The sequence below is a fragment of the Homo sapiens genome, chromosome 18 (assembly GCF_000001405.40).
Source record: "Homo sapiens chromosome 18, GRCh38.p14 Primary Assembly".
NCBI lineage: Eukaryota > Metazoa > Chordata > Mammalia > Primates > Hominidae > Homo > Homo sapiens.
This window is the reverse complement of record NC_000018.10, coordinates 24,715,353-24,736,440: the sequence shown is the minus strand read 5'-3', so window position 1 is coordinate 24,736,440 and position 21,088 is coordinate 24,715,353. Positions and strand designations below refer to the sequence as shown.

Below are 21,088 nucleotides of genomic sequence, written 5' to 3'. Positions count from 1 at the left end.
TTCTCAATGCTGAAAGCCTCATTTCCACTAATCCCCTACATTTCCTTCTTTTATTGGCATTTTCCTGGCTACCTCACTCCTATTCCTTCCCTGTTTTATTTCTTCTTTTCCTATCGGAAGTGTTATAGATCACCTCTGGGCAGCCCTTACATCTGACCCTTCTATGGCAACATGCTCATGCTGAGCTTCAGCAAGAATGGGCCAATAAACACACACAGCACACACACAACACACACACACAAACACACATACAACACACACACAAGCACACATACAACACACACACACAACACACACAACACACACAACACAAAAAACACATACAACACACACAACACACACACACAACACACTCAACACACACAAAAACACATATACAACACACATACAACACACAAACGCATACAACACACACAAACACATACAACACATACAAACACACACAATACACGCAAACACACATACAACACACACAAGCACATACAACACACACGAACATACATACAACACGCACAACACACAAAAAACACACATGCAACACCCACATAGCCCAAACATACAAAAAACATACAACACAAAAAAACACACACATACCCACAACACAAAAAACACAAACACACACATACAACACACACAACACACATACAACACACACATACCCACAACACAAAAACACACAAACACACAAAACACACACAACAAACACACAAAAAACACAATACACACAGCACACAAAATGCACACAAACACACAAATGACACACAAACACACACACAACACACACAACGCACAAAAACACACATACACACACAAAAAAATACATACAACACAAAAAAACACATAACACACAAAACACACACATACTACACATATACAACACACAAAAACACATACAACACACGCACAGCTCACACACAAAACACACACACAACACAACACGCATGTACTTCTGCCTTTTATGCCCTCAACCCAAACCTGCTTCAACAGACAACTACAGAGATCTTATTGCTGATTCTCAGTGAAGAGGGGACAGAGAGCCTTCCTCCCAACTAGCCTTCAGCCCTGGACACCAGCCTGTCTACAAGAGTAGCAGTAGCAGAAGCTCACCTGTGTGAGTTCCAACTGGGCCCCAGGCAAGGTGCACTGGTGACCCTGCATTGTTGCATATATTTAAAATGCATTACAACATCCCAAGAAAAAAAGCACTTATTATGGACCCCGTCCTGCAGTTGATGAATGTGGAACTCCAGGCAGTTAATGCATTTGCCCAAGGTCTCGGAGCTAGCAAGTGGTGAGGTGGAATTAGAACCCAGGTCTGTGTAACTCCCTAGCATGAATTCTTTACTTCCAAGCTGCCTTTGCCTTTATTCCGTAAGCAGCAGCCCTGGGAACACCCAGGAAAGAGCCAGGTTGAGGCATGTTTGGGGGCAATGGCATCTTTTTGATAGAAACAAGAAGATTGAGGGTGCGGTGCTGGACGTTCCCACGGACAACGGGCCTGACAGGGCTCATTCATCATGGCCAAGCCAGGTGACAGTGGGGTTCCACCTCACCTCCATTTAACACTATGGGAGGTTACACATTAGAGATTTGGAATCACAAAACTCCCCAGCCCCTGATAAGCCCAGCCAAGCACATAGTTTGCAGGTTATGTAAGCATGTAGAACAACTTCAGACCAGAGTTGTTTTCTTCTCCAACCCCTCCCTCCTCTGCTTTAAATAAGGTCAAAATGAAGTTATTTCATCCAAAAACTGTAAAAATAAAATACTAAATGTCAAGCAACTTAGGCATTTTAAAGTAACAGATTATATTCTGCATTAATCCACAGGGCTGTCTTACAAAGAGAAGCTCTTCTCTTCCCTATCACTATTTTCTCACACTGTTCTCCCAGTTACTATTATGGCTCACCCCACACTCAAATGGTAACATTTAAATTGATCAAGCATAGAAACAGACATCATCTCAGTCCCAAGAATCTCCCCCACCTAAGTCAGAGACAGCCGCTGAAAATGAGCTGCTGGAAGGCTCGCGGTGGCGATTCTGCACTGCCTCTTTCTTTTGTGCATTGTCTAAAGTGCATGCACACCTTTCAGTGCAGACAAAACGGTCTTCTTTATCTATAAAGGAGCCACTTAGATCAACCAGACTGGCCACAGGATGTCACTGTTACTCCACACACACACACAATAGCAAGTGCGCGTTTCCACCAGGGGTTGGATCTGGCCCGGGACCTGGGCTCCCCTCAGCCCTGCCTGTCACAGAATTGTCATCCCTTCAGGTGGCACACCACAAGCCAGCAGCGCGTGCCCTGTAAAAGCCATGTAGCCTGACCCATTGTCTCAATATTCGCATTGTTCTGTATCAAAGGGGACAGGAAGAGAAAGAGAAGCGAAAAGAAGAAAAGGATCAGCGTGGTCCCTCACATCACGGGTTCTCCAAGAGTTGGACTTTGAACATTTGATGACCTTGGATAGAGCCCAGGTCCTTTTCATATATTTTATAGTGTTATATAAGGATAAGAACATCTTTTGCTTATCTTTATTTTCTAAAATTTCTGGAAAGAATATGGAATACTTAAGCTGTTCTTAAGCTGTCTTAACTCTTCATGCGGATGCTGCTTTTCATTGGAGCCTGAGATGAGGCCAACAATGGTTAAATGCTTTCCTTTTATCCCAACAAAGCACCTGCCTCTTCCCACCACCCATTCCTCAAATGTCTCCTAGACTCAGGGGCAAGCCAAAGTCCAGGAAGAATGCATGCTCTGCAGCTGGCAAGCAAATGCCACTTCAGAGTTGGCATCATGGAACTCTTATCAGGGAACATGCCAGTAGCCCCTGCTGGAGCAGGAGAGTCACCTCGTATTCATGGCTGGCAGCTATTCTTCCTTCCCTGCTAGAGCCCCTCAGAGGGATGGTTTTCTATTTATTTTATTTTATTTTTGAGACAGAGTCTCGCCATGTCACCCAGGCTGGAGTGCAGTGGCGTGATCTCGGCTCACTGCAACCTCCACCTCCTGGGTTCAAGCGATTCTCCTGCCTCAGCCTCCGGAGTAGCTGGGACTACAGGCGCATGCCACCACGCCCAGCTAACTTTTTGTATTTTTAGTAGAGATGGGGTTTCACCGTGTTAGCCAGGATGGTCTCAATCTCCTGACCTTGTGATCCACCTGCCTCGGCCTCCCAAAGTGCTAGGATTACAGGCGTCAGCCACTACGCCTGGCCAGAGGGATGGTTTTCTTTCCATGGCTCCTCCATAGTCTAATTCCCCTTTGCCCCCATTTTCTACCATTATCCTCAGTGTATACTCTACAAAGTCATTGGCACAAAATGGTTAAAGCTAGAATCATAGATTACCACAGCCAGTGAGAAGGGGTGTTTTGGGTAGCCAGGGAGACATTTAACAATGCAGCATAAAAGGTAATCACAGAACAAAGGTACTTTGACTCATAAAGATGGGGAAAACCTTTTGCCTTAAAAAAGTGACTATAATAAAGCCTGGAAGTAGCTTTCATTTCAATGGAAGTTACAGCAGTTGAAACCTCCCTGCCACATGTCAGCATTACTTTAGCTACACCATAGCAGCAAAAAGAATTAAAACAAATAAAGCAGATAGTTTCTTGCAGAATGAGCATTTAAGAAAGGAAACTGATTGTTCCAGCATTTGCAAGGATCTGTGCAGTAGCTAAGAACTTGAGCTACGTAAATACAGTTGATGGAAGCTTTGTTAATCTCCACACTGTCTCTCTGCATATTGATATCAGTATAGGAAAACAGTTAGTTATTTTGACTGGAAGTGGCTTGGATCAGTGTGAGGAGTTGACCACCTCGAGATCTAGGAGAAACTCGGTAGGCTAAAGGGAACCAAATAAAACACAAAGAAAATCCAGACCAGGACAATTGCCTTAACTATACTTGCCTTAGGATTTGAGCAATTCCCTAATGGTAATGGTTTGAAATAAATGCCAGAATAAAATCTGTCCAATAATTGCTTTTATTTCACATTCATATGGCAATTTTTTTGTATCTACATTGCATTAAATACAAAGACAATGATGAACAAGGTAGCATATTCCCTGCCCTCAAGAGGTTAATTAGAGAGACAGACAAAAATGCACTAATACAGTGTAGGAGGGACTGTGTGTAATAGAGTCTGGCTGGCCTGTGTCCCCAGATCCTGGGAGCTAACCTCTAAACCCTTGGGATTCTGAGTGATTGGAATGTTTGTTATTCATGATGCACCCCTCAGACCACACCTGCAGCTGACACTAACAAGATGACTCAGGACTGGGGCTGGCCACGCCAAAAAGACCAACGGTATGATTAGAAGGTTGGTGCATGAGTCTTAAGATATCAGCCTGACCTTCAGGGAAAGGATGAGGCCTGGAGACTGAGTTCAGCTGCCTGCCAATGAGCGAATCAATCAGTGTATGTAATGAAGCCTCAGTTAACACTCTGGAAGCTGAGCTTGGGAGATCTTCCCTGCTCGGCAATACTCTCTGTGCATTGTTACTCATTGCTGGGAAGGTAACACATCCCTGAGGACACTGGAAGCTTCAAGTTTGGAAACCTCCCAGACTTCTTCCTGGTTAAATACGGCGTTTTCAGGGATTTCTGTGAGTCTCTCTAATGAATCATCAAGACTGGGGGGGCCTTGAGGGGTGGAGACCCCTAAATTTGTAGCCAGCTGGTCTAAAGTGAGGGTACCCCCAAAGACCCCCAAACTTATGGCTGATGTCAGAAGCCTTGGGCAGACTTCTATCTGTACTGAGGACTGTGCTCCATCTAAAAGTTTGGTCTGACTCTGGATGGGCTGGAACAAAGGAAATTTGGGGTGCTTGAGGCACATGAAGGAGGCATTTGATCCAGACTGTGGGTGGTGGGGAAGAAACGCCTGGAAAGTCTTTCTGGAAAAATTATCTCTGGCACCTGGAGGAAGGATGATTAAGCATTTGAGCTCAAAGTAACCCTTGAGAAAAGCAGACTCAATCCCAAAGAGGATGTTTCATTCTCAACAAAGCGCTGTCTTTGTTTCAAACACCAAGTCATAGAAATACTTCTGGTTTTGCTCAGGAAGTTTCCCTGTCCACAGTGTGCCCAGCCAACCGCTAAAGAAGGAGTTCAGTCTCCCAGAGAGGACAGAATAGACAAACAACTAACCACACCCCAAAATGACGCTGTGACAGAGCAGGGGTGAGCTGCAGGTTACGCACAGGAATCAAGGTGAAGACAGGCTCACCCAGTCACACCCTAAACTACTCCTCTCGTGGAAGGAAGGGTTTATTAATTTCCCTTTGCAGAGAGAAGTTACTAGGCACTGAAAATTTCTAAAATGTATTCAAAGTAAACAGTAAGTTCTTAATACAGGGGGTCAGGCCATCAAAGTACTATATGGCAATGATTGTCCTCGATTACCTTTCCTGAGGGCTCTCATCCATGAGGTGCTTCTTGAGTAAATGCACAGTTTCTCCCTTCCCCCACTGCCAGTCCAGATATACTCTCCTCCACAAGCTGGTAAACATTCAAAGGAGAAAGTGACTGAAGAGACTAGGAGGAAGTGTAGACCCTGGATGGAGTGCTTCGGCACTGCATGCACTGCTCCATACTGAAGGATCTATTTATGTGTGAATTTATCACCTCAGTCTTACTCTACATGAGAGCAGAGACCATTGTACCCTCAGCCTCCAGCACTCTGGCAAGGCAGTTACTCAGTAAATGTCTGTTCAATCAAATGAAGTTAAATAATAACTCTAAGCAGAAAATAAACCTCTAGTAATATCGTTTCTGATTTCTGAACATGGTCCTGTTTTGAGTTAACTCCCATTGGAGCAGGACACTCCAGTGAGTCTCCTTCCTCCTCCCCAACCCCATCACAAGCCCACCTGCCGTTGCTGAAATGAGTGACTGCCTGCTCAATCTCCAGATGCCCACATGAGGGGAAACACTTACATCATCCCTTTTCTCCTCCTCATCTGCAATTTGTCCCTCATCTTCATTCAATTATTCAACAAATATTCACTGAGCACCTGGATCTACTTGCTGGGAACATAGCTGGGAATAACCCCATCCTAACAGAGCTTGCCTTCTTCCGGAGAAAACAGTATAAATAAGTAGCATACGGAGTATATTAAACAATAATAAATGCAAAGGGCATAAAGCAGAGATAGTGGCAAGGACACAATTGGTGGTGAGGGGTGCAATTTTAGAATAGCCAGAGGAGGGCCACGCATTGGAGCAAAGAGCTGCAGGAGGTGGGGCGTGAGCGACATGGACTCCAAGGAAAGAGCATCCATGCAGAGGACCCAGTCAGTGCACAGATGCGGGGCGAGAGCATGCCTAGCATAAAGAAAAGCAGAGAGATCAATGCAGCAGAAACAGAATGAGGAGATGAGAGCAGAGAGGAAACAGAGGCAGCTAAGAGTACAATGTAGCAGATTTTACTCTGAATGACATAGACAGCCATCAGAAGGGTTTTCAGCAGAGTGCTATGATCTGATGTGTTTTAACAGGATCATGTAAGCTGCTGGGCTGAGAGGGATCGGAGGCAGCAAGGGAGACTGGCTAGGGGCTACTGTAGATGTCCAAGCAACAGATGTGGACAGCTGAGACCAAGGTAGCAGCAGGGAAAGTAAAGAAAATGATCAAAACCTGGGTATAATTGGAAGGTGGAGATGACCAGATTTGGTGACAGATCAGATACGGGATGTGAGAGAGAGCAGTCAAAGACGGCTCCAAGGTTTGGCCCAAGCTGCCAGAAAGAAGCCACTTTTTGAGATGAAAGATGAAGAAGGCTAGGAAAGAGCAGACATGGGAGGAAAATATCTGGAGCTTAGTTTGGGGATTACTAACTTTGCGATTCCTGTCAGGCATCCAAATGTTTCCTCCTCCTGATGAGGAGGCAATAATTATATGCATATATATTTATAAATATATATATATATATATATATATATATAGTGTGTGTGTGTGTGTGTGTGTGTGTGTGTGTGCGCACGTATCTGCAACTTGGAGGACATGTCCAGGATGGAGATACCAGTTTTGGAATTAACAGCATATAGATGGCATTAACCAGAGAGGAGAAATGAATTCACCAAAGAAAAAAGGAGGAACAAAGGAGCCAATATCTGTCAATTTTCTAGAATGGCATCAAAACCAACATGCATCCCATGAATCACATTCCACTCCAATTCTTCCCTTGCCTGTAAGTCCAGGACAGAGCCCATTCTTTTCTGTGGCAAGAGAGGTGGACTTGAACTTGGGATGAAAATATGGTGTTGGCCACTCAGAATGTAGATTGTATCTGGTATGGGTAGTGTTCAGTGTATCAAGGTCTTAGGAAGCAAGTAATTATTTCAAGGGAAATGATAACTCAAAATGGTACTAAAATATCTTAAAACTAGAGTGAGGTTGAGGTGAAGAGTGAGGCTGCAGTTGGGAGGGGACAAACTGCATCCCTTTCTCACCTCCTATTCTTGCCTGTCTTTGCAAAACAGAGGCCATGGAACTGCTGCCTCTTCTACTTTCCTATAGGTGACTTTAAGCTCTACAGTTTCTCCACAATTCACATTATGTCATTCTTCTCAATAAAGCCAAAGTAGTAAATGCATACCTCGATGTGATTCAAAGCGGGTAACTTTGGGACAAATTTACAAGTCAAATAAAAAATAATTTGTTAATCCAAGTGTCCCAATTTTGGGCTCAAAAAAAAAAAATCTAACATCCTGGCAGCTCCATGCTCGGGGTGAATAACAACAAATAAAGAAGGCCTGAGGCTTGTTCTTAACTGTGATAGAGGCTGGGGGAAGGGGAAGGGATTGGGGGGGAGTCCTAGACAAATGCTCCATGAATTTGCTGTCTCTGGAAAAAGCATTAACTTTTCCAAAAAGAGAAAAGTTAAACAAGCAGTAGCTCATTTCAAGTAGATGAAGGACTTAAAAAGTGAGCATCACCTCTTCTTGGTACCTCTAAATGGCCAACTCTTGATCCTGGAATCACAGAAGCCATGATGGGGAAACCGAAGCCTAGAGCAGGTTCTCACTCAAAGCTGCAAAGCTGGAAAGCTCCAAGCCCTGTGTAGAGCCCGTACCTTCTGATCGCCAATCCAGAACATTCTCTACATCGCAGCAAATTGGTTCGAATTAAAAAAGAAAAAAAAAAAAACCTCATTTGGGGTTGAATCATGTGAAGCTAGAATTTAAACTTCCAAACTTTCTGCTCTGGATTAGAAAAAAAATGTTTTCCTAAGTGTTAAGAGTTCAAGGTGTCCCAGTGAAGAACACATGAAAGGTCTGCAGCAAGAGAGGTGGGAAATGAAAATACCTTCATTACTGACAGGGTTGATGGTGGAGGTCATGGTTTCTATCTGTGGGGTGGGCTTCTCCACCCCTGAGCCTCCAGATTGGACAGCCTCCCCCACCCATTCCTCTGCAGCACAGGGACGGAGTGGCCCCGTGAAATGTACAGATGGGGAGAAGGAACAGGTGCACCAGATGCAGGCTGTCTGCAGGTGGCCTCACTCCTGTAGGGGGCAGGGCATTGGGGACTGCGCTGCACAAACCCTGTTCTCCTTAGGAACTCACCAGGTGATGAAATCACTCCTCTCCTCTTCTAAGAGGAGCCAGAGGGGCATCGGGTGGTCAGGAGTGTAATTGCTAGTGAAGCTCCCTCGGTGGCAAGGACTTCAGGAGACTGCAAGCGGCATGAGGAGAGCAGAGCACTCCTCTCCCCTGATTGTGTTCAACTCCAGGAGCCACAGTCTCCTAAGCTGCGAGACAGACGCAGAAATATCTCAAGTGGCAAATGATGTGCAAAGCGATGGCAGGTGCCGCAAATGATAGTCATTATGACAGAGTAGAAGGAAAGGCGGCGGGAAGAGGGAGGTAGGAGAATAAGGGAGAGAAAAGGGGTAGAGAGAGGTGCAAACCAGCTAGGGATGTAGGAGGTGGAGAAGACCCCGCCAGAGAGCCTGCAGGTGTGAGAATGGCGCATGTGTGCAAGAGCAGGCAGCGCGGTTGGGACCCACATGGGACCGTGAAGACGTGATGCTGCAGGGAACAATGTGTGTCTGCAATGTGCTGCAGCCAGAGTCACTGTAACTTGGTGCTGTGCTGAATGAAGTGGAAGAAATGCTATTAAACTCGTGACTCCATGAGGTAATAATATTCCCAGTGAGCCCACGCCTACAGAAATACACCCAGCAAGCAGGCTTTCCAGGAGCCCCCTCTAAGTTATAACAAGCTGCCTGTATCCTGCTGCCAGGATGCAGAGAAAAAATGAAAGCCAGTAACCAACTACATTATAAACTTAGTGACCTGTTTCACCTCCGCTGGTTTAGTGACGAGCTCGGCTGCCTTTTGGGCACGGAGAAAGAAACATAAGGCTAGGATTAAGTTTCCTGGCTTTTGAAGTCATCAACAGTCAAAAATGCTTTCAGCTGGCATTTCTCTCTGTTATCCAGTCAGCTTTGATGGATTTATTTTCTTTGCCCTATTTCATGGAAGTTACTGGGGCCAATTTCCGCAAAGATGATTGCCAGGGAGTTTTTTTAGGTGGACACGAGGTGGCGCTGTCTCTCCAGCTGTTTCAGTACTTTTTAGGACGTGCAGACTGGTTTCATTAAAGTCCTTAGAGCTTTCTAACTCGCAGTGAGAGTGAGGGATTCAATGGTCAGAAAGACACTCACTTACTTTCTCCAATCTGTGGGTCTCCAAGCCCCGGGAGAGCGGTAGAATCCTTTATACACTTCACAGTCTCACAGTTTTATTTCTCTCTGTAGCAAGTGAAGCAATTAGAAAGTAGTGCTGTATTCAGATATTCATAGTCAGCAATTGGAATTCTTGCTCGTTTTAGACTCTGGCATTTTGATTTATAAAACAAGTCTTTCTTCTTACTACAAATTACCAATGACTTCCCAATTTATTTTTAAAAATTCTCTAACAGCGTGCCCTACTTGAGAACATTTCTATTTCTGCTAAAAGACCAGGATCTCTTACATGGATTAGAGCCTAAAAATCCTGACCGGGAGATTGTAAGTCTTGCAGCTCTGGAATAGACTGAGTATCATTTCCCTTTGGGATTTATGGAGATAGCAGCAATGATCGGGGATGGTCTCCCATGAAGAGAAGACAGTGCCTCCGTGCAGTTAAGCCCCCTTGCTAAAATCACATTAGAGTCAAAGATTCAATTAGGCCCCAGGCCTCCTGATTCCTGATGCAATGCTTTTTCCATGACACTCCTCTGTCTCCGTGAGTCCAAATATCTACACGTGCCTGGATTGATAATACATGTTACATGATGTTTGAAAATTTTTACTGGGTTATCTGTAATTCTAAATAGACATGCCAAGAAACCCAGTGGCTTCTAAGCAGCATGTATCAATTCAAGAGAAAAGCGATATTCTAACTTCTGGCAAAACAGCAAGTATCAAGAATATCACTTACCACAGCTGACGTGATAAGGATGCTGCTGAGGGACCAGCATGCTGCCTCATCCCAAATATCTGCCATGGCTTCTCCCAGGGGCCAGGGAGCTGGGTGGCAGAGTCCCAGGCTTTTCTCTCAGATCTTTTCTCTGAAGTGCTCCCAATCCTCTCCACCCCCCACCCCCATCTCTCTCCTCTCTCTCGTGAGAGCCTCGCCTCCCAGAGCAGAGTTAATTAGAGCATAGGCTTACTTCCAGCTTCTGACCACAATATGTATAAGCTGTGAGTGGAGGAATGAATCTGATCTGAAATTTTAAATCTACGTTTTCCTTGATATTTACAGATCTTACTGTTATTTGGGCTTGTGACCCTGGAATCTGTGTTAGTTGATTTTATATTGATGCATATTTTGCATGCTCTCTAGTCCAAATTACTAAGAGATGAACATGTTTCTCAGGCAAAGGGTCCACTCGGGTTTCTAATATTACTGCCCCTAGTTTCATCCAGAAACTGGAAGGCTGAAGTCTTCTTCATGATAATAAGCTGCTTGCTTCCACAAGTTTCGGTTTTTTCTGCTTTATGAGAACTAGATTGTTCAGACCCAGTTACAGGTAAAAAGTCTAATATTTCAGGTTGGTTTTTTAAAATTCTTTTTTTTTTCACTAACGAAGTGTGAAAAAATTTACTAATACACTAGATAGTAATTTTAAATCAATTAAAATAGAAATTTGAGGGTTGCTGGGAGGGGGAAAATTGAGGAAGTAAGTTATCTCATTTTCTTTTTCTTTCTTTTTTTTTTTTTTTTTTTGAGACAGAGTCTCACTCTGTCGCCCAGGCTGGAGTGCAGTGGCACGATCTTGGCTCACCGCAAGCTCCACCTCCCAGGTTCACGCCATTCTCCTGCCTCTGCCTCCCTAGTAGCTGGGACTACAGGCGCCTGCCACCACGCCCGGCTAATTTTTTTTTTTTTTTTTTTTGTATTTTTAGTAGAGACGGGGTTTCACCATGTTAGCCAGGATGGTCTCGATCTCCTGACCTCGTGATCCGCCCGCCTCGGCCTCCCAAAGTGCTGGGATTACAGACGTGAGCCACCTTGCCCAGCAAGTTATCTCATTTTCTAGAGCAATGAAATAATATGGATGCAATTCATTCATTTATTTATCCACAGAATGTATATGGGAGAGTTTATTAGGTATAGAATACTTATTATATTATGGTTATTATATATGAGGAACTTCAGGTCCTAGAGAGAGATGATGGTGAACCAGAAACACTCGATCTGTAAATATTTTGTGAATCAATGAACAATAAATGAATAAATACATTGCAGTTATATTATTTCAATTTAATTATTTTAGATACAGCAATGCTATTCTTCATCTACCCCCATTTTGGCTTTTTAGATTTTTAAAAAAATTTTTTAAATTGTTTTAATTGACATAATGATTGTACATATTTATGGAGTACATAGTGGTGTTTTGATACATATAATGTATATTGATCAGATCAGGGTAATTAACATATCCATTATCTCAAACATTTATCATTTCTTTGTGCTGGGAACATTCAATATCCTTCTTCTAGCTATTGGAAACTATTTAATGTATTAGTGTTAACTATAGTCATCCTACACTGGCATAGAACACTAGAACTTATTCCTCCTATCTATCCAAATTCAGTTTTAAATGATTTCACTGATATATACTGTGGATGAAAAAAATTATTCCCTAACCTGGCTCAAACACTTTTTATCCAAATCTCTCCAAATTCAGTTTTAAATGATTTCACTGATATATACTCTGGATGCAGAATATTATTCTCTAACCTGGCTCAAATACTTCTTATTTGATCCAAGTTCTTTTATGATAAATACATGCAGCTTAATCCTCCACTGATGACCAATTTATCCCCCTGGTAGCCACCTGGCCTTAGAGAAATTCACAGTCCCAAAAAATCTTGAAATCAAATGTCTACAGGGCCAGGTGGTCATTAAAAAGCGAATCAGGTGGGGCTAGGCAAGGACTGAGGTGAGCTGGAGAGCAGAGCTCCAGGACCTTCTAAAGGGCTGATGGCCAACTGTTGCCTCAGGGAAGCAAAGCTGTGTTGTGAGATCTTCAAATTAGAAAATCTATATTGCTGCACAAGATCTCTGATTTTTAAATGATAACAAGAGAGTTTGTTAGAACACTGTGCAGGCCAAATAAAACATGTTTGTGGGCTGGATCCAGGCTGTCAATCTGAGACCTCTGATGTATAGTTTCAGATTAAATGAAGCTTTTAGCGAGATAATAAACCCAATCCACCAACCTAATTCAGAAATACCTGGCTTTATGAAGATGGCTTCCTTCACAGCTAGAATTTGTTTAATCCCTAAATGGAAACATTTATTAATTAAACACAGCACCATCCTATTGACACATTTGGTGAATATCACCAAAACTTCCAACAAGCTCATGCAGAATTTGAACTAGAAGAGGGTAAGAACCTTTACAGGGAAAGGTTACCTATATTGTAATTGCTCTGCCTTTCTTTATGTAAACGAAAAGTAAGTGATATTGAACCTCTGCAAAAGGCTTCTTAAGATGTAGAAGAGTACGGAATTTTTATTATCTTAGCAGAATCTAATATAATAGCTCAAATAAATCAATACATTTATTATCAAAACAAAGCTTCAGGCCAGGCGTGGTGGCTCACGCCTGTAATCCCAGCACTTTGGGAGGCCAAGGCAGGCAGATCACAAGGCCAGGAGATTGAAACACAGTGAAACCCCATCTCTACTAAAAATACAAAAAATTAGCTGGGCGTGGTGGCAGGTGCCTGTAGTCCCAGCTACTGGGGAGGCTGAGGCAGGAGAATTGCTTGAATCCAGGAGGCGGAGGTTGCAGTGAGCCGAGATCATGCCACTGCACTGCAGCCTGGGTGACAGAGCGAGACTCCATCAAAAAAAAAAAAAAAAAAAAAAAGCTTCAAAAGAGTTTCTAGGTTATTATTCCTCAATTTCTCATAAAAGCAAAGAAAAAGTTGGCTGATGCTTTAGATCATGTATTCACTTGACAAACATTTATTTTTGTTCCTAGAATAACCTGGCATCTTGAGATACTTAGTTTATTATGCTCTGAAGGCTTTTCAGCACAGAGTCTGCCTTTCAACAAATCATGCTCAACACATATTTATTAAATACTACTTTCTAGCAAATTTATTATAGAAGCAGATTTTACCTTCTGGTATTGGCAACATAAGATATCTCAAGTACCACATAAATATATACACTTACTATGTACCTATAAAATTTAAAGATAAAAATAATGGCCAGGCATGGTGGCTCATGCCTGTAATCCCTGTATTTTGGGAGGTCAAAGAGTGAGAATCACTTGAAGCCAGGAGTTGAAGACAAGTCTGGGCAGCATAGCGAGACCCTGTCTCTACAAAATATAACAAAAAAATAGCCAGGTGTGGGTGTGCTGTAGTCTCAGCTACTCAAGAGGCTGAAGTGGGGGATCACTTGAGCCCAGGAGTTTGAGTTTGTAGTGAACTATGATCATGCTGCTGCATTCCAGCCCAGGTGACAGAGCAAGACCTTGCCTCGAAAATAGAAATAATGAAGAGGTCAGGTATCCTCCTTTAGAGAAAACAAGCATAAAATGGACAAAATTGTCTTTTAAAAAATTTGTTTTGGCATGCAGAAACCTACCAAAGCCAAAAAATAAATTAAGCAGAATTTATTCTAATACACAAAAACTGATTGAGTTTTTGGGCAAGAATGATGGAAGTCTGTGGCCTCTTGCCTGGGCTGTTCCTATGCTCCCCTTCCTCAGTTCAATTGGCAAGAATATGGCCATACCAACCTAGGCGGGCTGTAATTAGAAAGGGATTTTGCTGCCAAAGAAGGCAGGCTTGCCTTGGGGTATAGGGGAAGGAACAAACTTCTATTACATTCACAGCTAAATATGGCAGCTTTGGTTTGGAATAGACTGTAAAAACCTGCAGCTTTTCTAGACTTAGGTTGTGTTTCTCAGTTTAAGGTGAGTGACTGACCAGCCAGAAATTTAATAAGGCAATCTTGGAATTTAGAACATCATGAAAGGGCTGAGATAAGCTCTCCACACATCCCTGGCTGATGGCTAAACTACCCGTGTGTAGGAGAGATCCAGAGGTCCCTTAGGAAATGTGATAAACCAAGGGAGACGTGAGAACTGGCTGCAACTTTGAATATGTTCCTCACATAACTCAATTGGCACAGGATGGAAGTCTAATAGGTTCAAGGTGTTTGAACGAAGCTTGAGCCGTCATTAGTTGACCATTAAACTATACAGACAGAGGAGTGACCTCTAGAGAGCCAGGTTAAAAAATAGAAATAGAAAAAACAGATGGGCCAAGGCATCAGCAGTTGCATATTGTGTGGGAGAGGTTTTCCACAATGTAAATTTCTAGACATGTAAAAAACAGGAAAGTATGACCTGTACTTGGAGGATTTGGGAGGAAACAATTTTTAGAAACTGACTCTGAGTGATCCTAGATGTTAGGCTTAGCAGGCAAGACTTTACACAGCTGTTATAGATATGTTCAAATAATTAAACTAAAACAATAAACAAAAAAGAGTTAGAGAAAATGATGCTCAAAGGATAAAAGAAAAATATGCTAACAACTGGTCAAGAAGTAAGAAGTCCACACAGAGAAATAGAAACTATGTGAAAGAACCAAATGGAAATTCTAGAGTTTAAGAGTATAACTGAAAGAAAAAAAAATCACCAGCTAGGAACAACTGCAAACTTGAAATGGCAAAAGAAAGAAGAGGAAACTTGAAGATGGATAAATGGAAACTGTTAAATCTGAAGAACAGAGAGAAATAAAGGGAGAAAAATAAACAGATCCTCAAAGGCTTGCCAGATAACATCAAGCATTTCAACATATGTGTGATGGGAGTTCCAGCAGAAGACAATTCACTGAAGAAATAATGGCTGAAATCTCCCAAAACTTGAAAACTTGAAAATCATTAACTTACAGATCCAAGAAGCTCAACAAGCATCAGATAAAATAAGCACAAAGAGAACCACATAGAGATACATCATTGTCAAACTACCAGAAGATAAAAACAAAGAGAAGATTTCTAAAGCAGCAAAAGAAAATGACTAATCCTGGACAAAAGAATAACAGAATAAGCAACTGATTTTCATCTGAAACAATGTAACCCAGTGGGCAGTGGAATACCATATTCAAAGCACTGAAAGAAAAAAAAGTCAACCTGAAATTCTACATTCAGTAAAATCATTGTTCAAAAAGAAATTAAAGAAACTTCCAGGTAGACAAAATGAGAAAATTCCTTTACAGCAGAACTTTGCTACAATACATACTAAAATTTAAGTTCTTCAAGATGAAAGGAAATAGAGTAACTGAAATCTCCAGAAAGAAATAAAGAGAATGTGAAATGGCAAGTAAATTGGTAAATATTAAAGATTGAAGATCATATGTTTTTTTCTTTTCTTATACTATAATTTTTTATAGACATAACGTTGTTTAGGGCATTAATTACAACACCATATTTTTGGTTTATACCTGACATTGATATAACATATATAATAATAACACTAGAAGGAACAAGAAAATTGAGTTATATTAGTTACTATACTCTTCTCAAATTAAACCAGTATTAATCTGAGATTGTCATAAATTAAAATTGAATATTGTAATCTCTAAAGCAACCACATTTTTAAGTTTTCAAAAGCTATGACTACAAAATAAACACAGGATTTAAAATGGCACACTAAAAAATATTTATTTAACACAAAATAGTCAGCCAAAGAGGAATAGAGAAACAAGAAAAAGGACATGGACCTTATAGGGAAAAAATAGCAAAATGGGAGGCATAATTCAATGATGTCAATAATTACATTAAATATTAATCAACTCAATGCTCCAATCAAAAAGCAGAAATTATCAGACAATAACAAACAAGATTCAATTTATATGCAGTCTACAAGAGAAACACCTTAAATTCACACATGATAAATTCACATATTCACATGTTAAATTTACATATTCACTATACTCCATGAATAGAGTAACTGTAGGAGAATTACAGTGGCTATGCTAATATCAGACAAATCAGACTTTAAGAAAAGACCTATTGCTAGAGACAAAGAGGGACATTTCATAATGATAAAAGTATTGACATGACCAGAAGATATAATAATCATAAATATGCATATACCTTATCACCAGGGCCAAAAAATTACATAAAACAGATTGAAAGGAGAAATGGACTATTTAATAATTATATAGAGAGACTTTAATACTCCTATCTCAGTAACTGAAAGATCATAACAGAAAATCTGTAAGGATACACAAGTCTTGAACAACTTGATCAAACTGACAAATACAGACCCCCTCAACCCAAAAACAGAATATACATTCTTCTCAATAGCAGACAGAAATCTTAGAAATCCCCAAATATTTCAAAATGAAACAACATACTTCTCAATATCTCATGATTCACATAACAAATCATAAGGGAAATTCAAAAATATCATAAACTGAATGTAAATGAGAACCAATATATCAAAATCTATGTGTCACAGCTAAAATGTTGCTTAGAGAGAAATTTGAGCTTTATATACTTCTATTAGAAAGGGGGAAATACCTTACATCAATAATGCAAGTCTTCATCTTGAGAAGTTAGAAAAAGAAAGCAAATTAAGCACAAAATACTAGGAAGGAAATAATAAAAATCAGAGCAGAATGCCATGAACTAGAAAATAGAAAAAAGCAATAGAAGAAAATCAATGAAATCAAAAGTTGGTTCTTTGATATGATCAACAAAATTGAAACAGTAGGCTAGCTAGACATCAGTCAAGAAACAAAGAGAGATAAAAATTTTTCCAAATTTGGGAACAAAAGAGGGAATGTGACTACAGACACTACAGAAATTAACAGGCTTATAAAAGAATATCATGAACAACTTTATGCCAACGAATTTGTTAACTTAGATGAAATAGACAAATTCCTAGAAAGACACAAATTATCAAAATTGACTCAAGAGTAAATAGATATTTTGAATATACTTATGCCAAGTAAAGAAACTGAATTAGTAATTTAAATTCTCTCCACAAAGTTCACACACAGATGGCATCATTGATGAATTCTTTCAAACATCTAAGAAAGATATAATACTAATTCTACGAAGCCTGTTTCAGAAAATAGAAAAGGAGAGAATACTTTCCATTGTATTCTATGAAACCACTATTAGCTGGATACTAATGCTAGACAAAGGAATTAGAATAAAAGAAAGCTATAGCCCAATATCCTTCATGGACACAGATTTTTAAATCCTTGAGAAATATTAACAAATAAAATCTAAAAGCATATGAAAAAGATTATACTCAATGGTCAAATGAAGTGTATCCCAGAACTGCAAAGTTGTTTTAACATCTTAAAATCAATTAACATAAAATACCATAGTAATAGAATAAAGAAAAAAATTAATCATCTTAATAGATATAGAAAACAATTATTTGATGATGTGATTCATTATATAAATTCTCATAAAATTAGGAATGAAGGGAACTTCCTCAGCTGGATAAAGGACATCTACAGAAAACTTTGGCAACTAACATCATCCTTCATGGTTAAAGGCTGAAAGTTATCCTCCTAAGATCAGGAACAAGGGAGAAATGCATGCTCTCACCATTTCTATTTAACACTGTGGGACAAAACAAAACAAATAAATAAAAGGCATGCATGTTGTAAAGGAAGATGTAAAACTATCTTTATACACAGACATAATCTTTGATATAGAAAAGCTTAAGGAATCTACCAAAAAATCTACTAGAGTAAGTAAACAAATTTAGTAATGTCACTGTTACAAGGCCAATATACAAAATTCAATGAGTGGCATTTTTATATATTAGCACCAATCAATTCAAAAACTCAAGAAATCATCCACAAAGCATCAACAATAATAAAATACCTAGAAATAAATTTACTGAAGGAATGGCAAAACTTAAAGGAGACCTAAAAGAGTGGAAAGATAAACCACATTCGTGTGTTGAAAGATTCAATATTATTAAGATGGGAATTCTCTCCAAATAGATCTTCCCATTCAAGACAATTCTTATTAAAATCCCAGGAAGTGTGAGCACAGTGGCTCACGCTTGCAATCTCAGCACTTTGGGAGGTCCATGTGGGAGGATCACTTGAGCCCAGGATTTGAACCTGGGCAACATAGTGAGACCTTGTCTCTACAAAAAATTAAAAAAGGAGGCAGGGGGATAGTTTGAGCCCGGGAGACCGAGGCTGCAATGAGCCGTGATTGTGCCACTGCACTCCTGCCTGGGTGACAGAGAGAGACCCTGCTTCAAAAGAAGCATTTTTTTTTTTTTTAGAAATTGATGACAAGTTGATATAAAATTAATATGGAGATACAAAGGATCTTAAATAGCTGAAACAATTTTGAAAACGAATAAAAAATTCTTAGGATTTGTACTCACTGATTTCAAAACCTACTATAAAGCTATACAGTAAGCAAGACAATGCGGTACTGGTTGTAAGAATAGTCATATAGATAAAAAATGGAACAGAGAGTTCAGAAATAAACCAAAACATATATGGTCAACTGATTTCAACATAGTGCCAAGGCAATTCAACAGAGAAAGAATAGGCTTTTCTGGAAAGTATGCTAGAACAATTGGACATTCATATACAAAGTAAACTAAGAAGCTTGATCCTTAACTCTCATCATAGAAAAAAATTAATGCAAATGGATGCCTGAACTAACTATAAGAGTGAGCTAAACTATAAAACTCCTAGGAGAAACTTTTTGTCACTTAGGTTAGGCAATTTTTTTTAAGAAATGAAATCAAAAGCATCATTAGAAAAGAAAAAAATTGATAAATTATACTCTATCAAATATAAAAATTTTGCTTTTCAAAAGACATCATTAGAAAATTAATAGAGGCCACAGACTGGGAAAGAAGATTTGCAAAACATACATTTCATAAAAGACTTCTATTCAGAATATATAAAGCACTCTTACAACTCAATAATAAGACAACATTTTAAAATCACAAAAGATTTAAATGGATACTTCCCCAAAGATGGCATACACATGGCAGAAAAGCACATTTTAAAATGCTCAAAATCATTAGTCATGAGGGAAATGCAAACTTACAATGAAAGACACCACTGATGGGGAGCCAGGATGGCCGAATAGGAACAGCTCCGGTCGACAGCTCCCAGCGTGAGCGACGCAGAAGACAGTGATTTCTGCATTTCCATCTGAGGTACCGGGTTCATTTCTCTAGGGAGTGCCAGACAGTGGGCGCAGGTCAGTGGGTGCGCGCACCGTGCGCGAGCCGAAGAAGGGCGAGGCATTGCCTCGCTTGGGAAGCACAAGGGGTCAAGGAGTTCCCTTTCCAAGTCAAAGAAAGGGGTGACGGACGGCACCTGGAAAATCGGGTCACTCTCACCTGAATACTGCGCTTTTCCGACGGGCTTAAAAAACGGCGCACCACGAGATTATATCCCGCACCTGGCTCGGAGGGTCCTACGCCCACGGAGTCTCGCTGACTGCTAGCACAGCAGTCTGAGATCAAACTGCAAGGCAGCAGCCAGGCTGGGGGAGGGGCGCCCGCCATTGCCCAGGCTTGCTTAGGTAAACAAAGCAGCGGGAAGCTCAAACTGGGTGGAGCCCACCACAGCTCAAGGAGGCCTGCCTGCCTCTGTAGGCTCCACCTCTGAGGACAGGGCACAGACAAACAAAAAGATAGCAGTAACCTCTGCAGACTTAAATGTCCCTGTCTGACAGCTTTGAAGAGAGCAGTGGTTCTCCCAGCACACAGCTGGAGATCTGAGAACGGGCAGACTGCCTCCTCAAGTGGGTCCCTGACCCCTGACCCCTGAGCAGCCTAACTGGGAGGCACCCCCCAGCAGGGGCACACTGACACCTCACATGGCAGGGTATTCCAACAGACCTGCAGCTGAGGGTCCTGTCTGTTAGAAGGAAAACTAACATACAGAAAGGACATCCACACCAAAAACCCATCTGTACATCACCATCATCAAAGACCAAAAGTAGATAAAACCACAAAGATGGGGAAAAAACAGAACAGAAAAACTGGAAACTCTAAAAAGCAGAGCGCCTCTCCTCCTCCAAAGGAACACAGTTCCTCACCAGCAACGGAACAAAGCTGGATGGAGAATGACTTTGACGAGCTGAGAGAAGAAGGCTTCAGACGATCAAATTACTCTGAGCTATGGGAGGACATTCAAACCAAAGGCAAAGAAGTTGAAAACTTTGAAAAAAATTTAGAAGAATGTATAACTAGAATAACCAATACAGAGAAGTGCTTAAAGGAGCTGATGGAGCTGAAAACCAAGGCTCGAGAACTACGTGAAGAATGCAGAAGCCTCAGGAGCCGATGCGATCAACTGGAAGAAAGGGTATCAGCAATGGAAGATGAAATGAATGAAATGAAGCGAGAAGGGAAGTTTAGAGAAAAAAGAATAAAAAGAAATGAGCAAAGCCTCCAAGAAATATGGGACTATGTGAAAAGACCAAATCTACGTCCGATTGGTGTACCTGAAAGTGATGGGGAGAATGGAACCAAGTTGGAAAACACTCTGCAGGATATTATCCAGGAGAACTTCCCCAATCTAGCAAGGCAGGCCAACGTTCAG

The 21,088-nt window shown here is 40.9% G+C and overlaps 1 long non-coding RNA gene across 1 annotated transcript in view; it reads right to left on the bottom strand.

Annotated features, from left to right (window-relative positions):
• LOC105372028 (uncharacterized) overlaps nt 1-10,660 on the bottom strand; it is a 40,865-nt gene extending 30,205 nt beyond the window's left edge. Inside the window, exons 1-2 of the long non-coding RNA NR_134604.1 lie at nt 10,437-10,660; nt 9,684-9,766 (exon numbers count right to left, since the gene is read on the bottom strand). This is a non-coding gene — a long non-coding RNA (uncharacterized LOC105372028). The remainder of the gene's footprint in view (nt 1-9,683; nt 9,767-10,436) is intronic.
• Between the last annotated feature and the right edge of the window lie 10,428 nt (nt 10,661-21,088).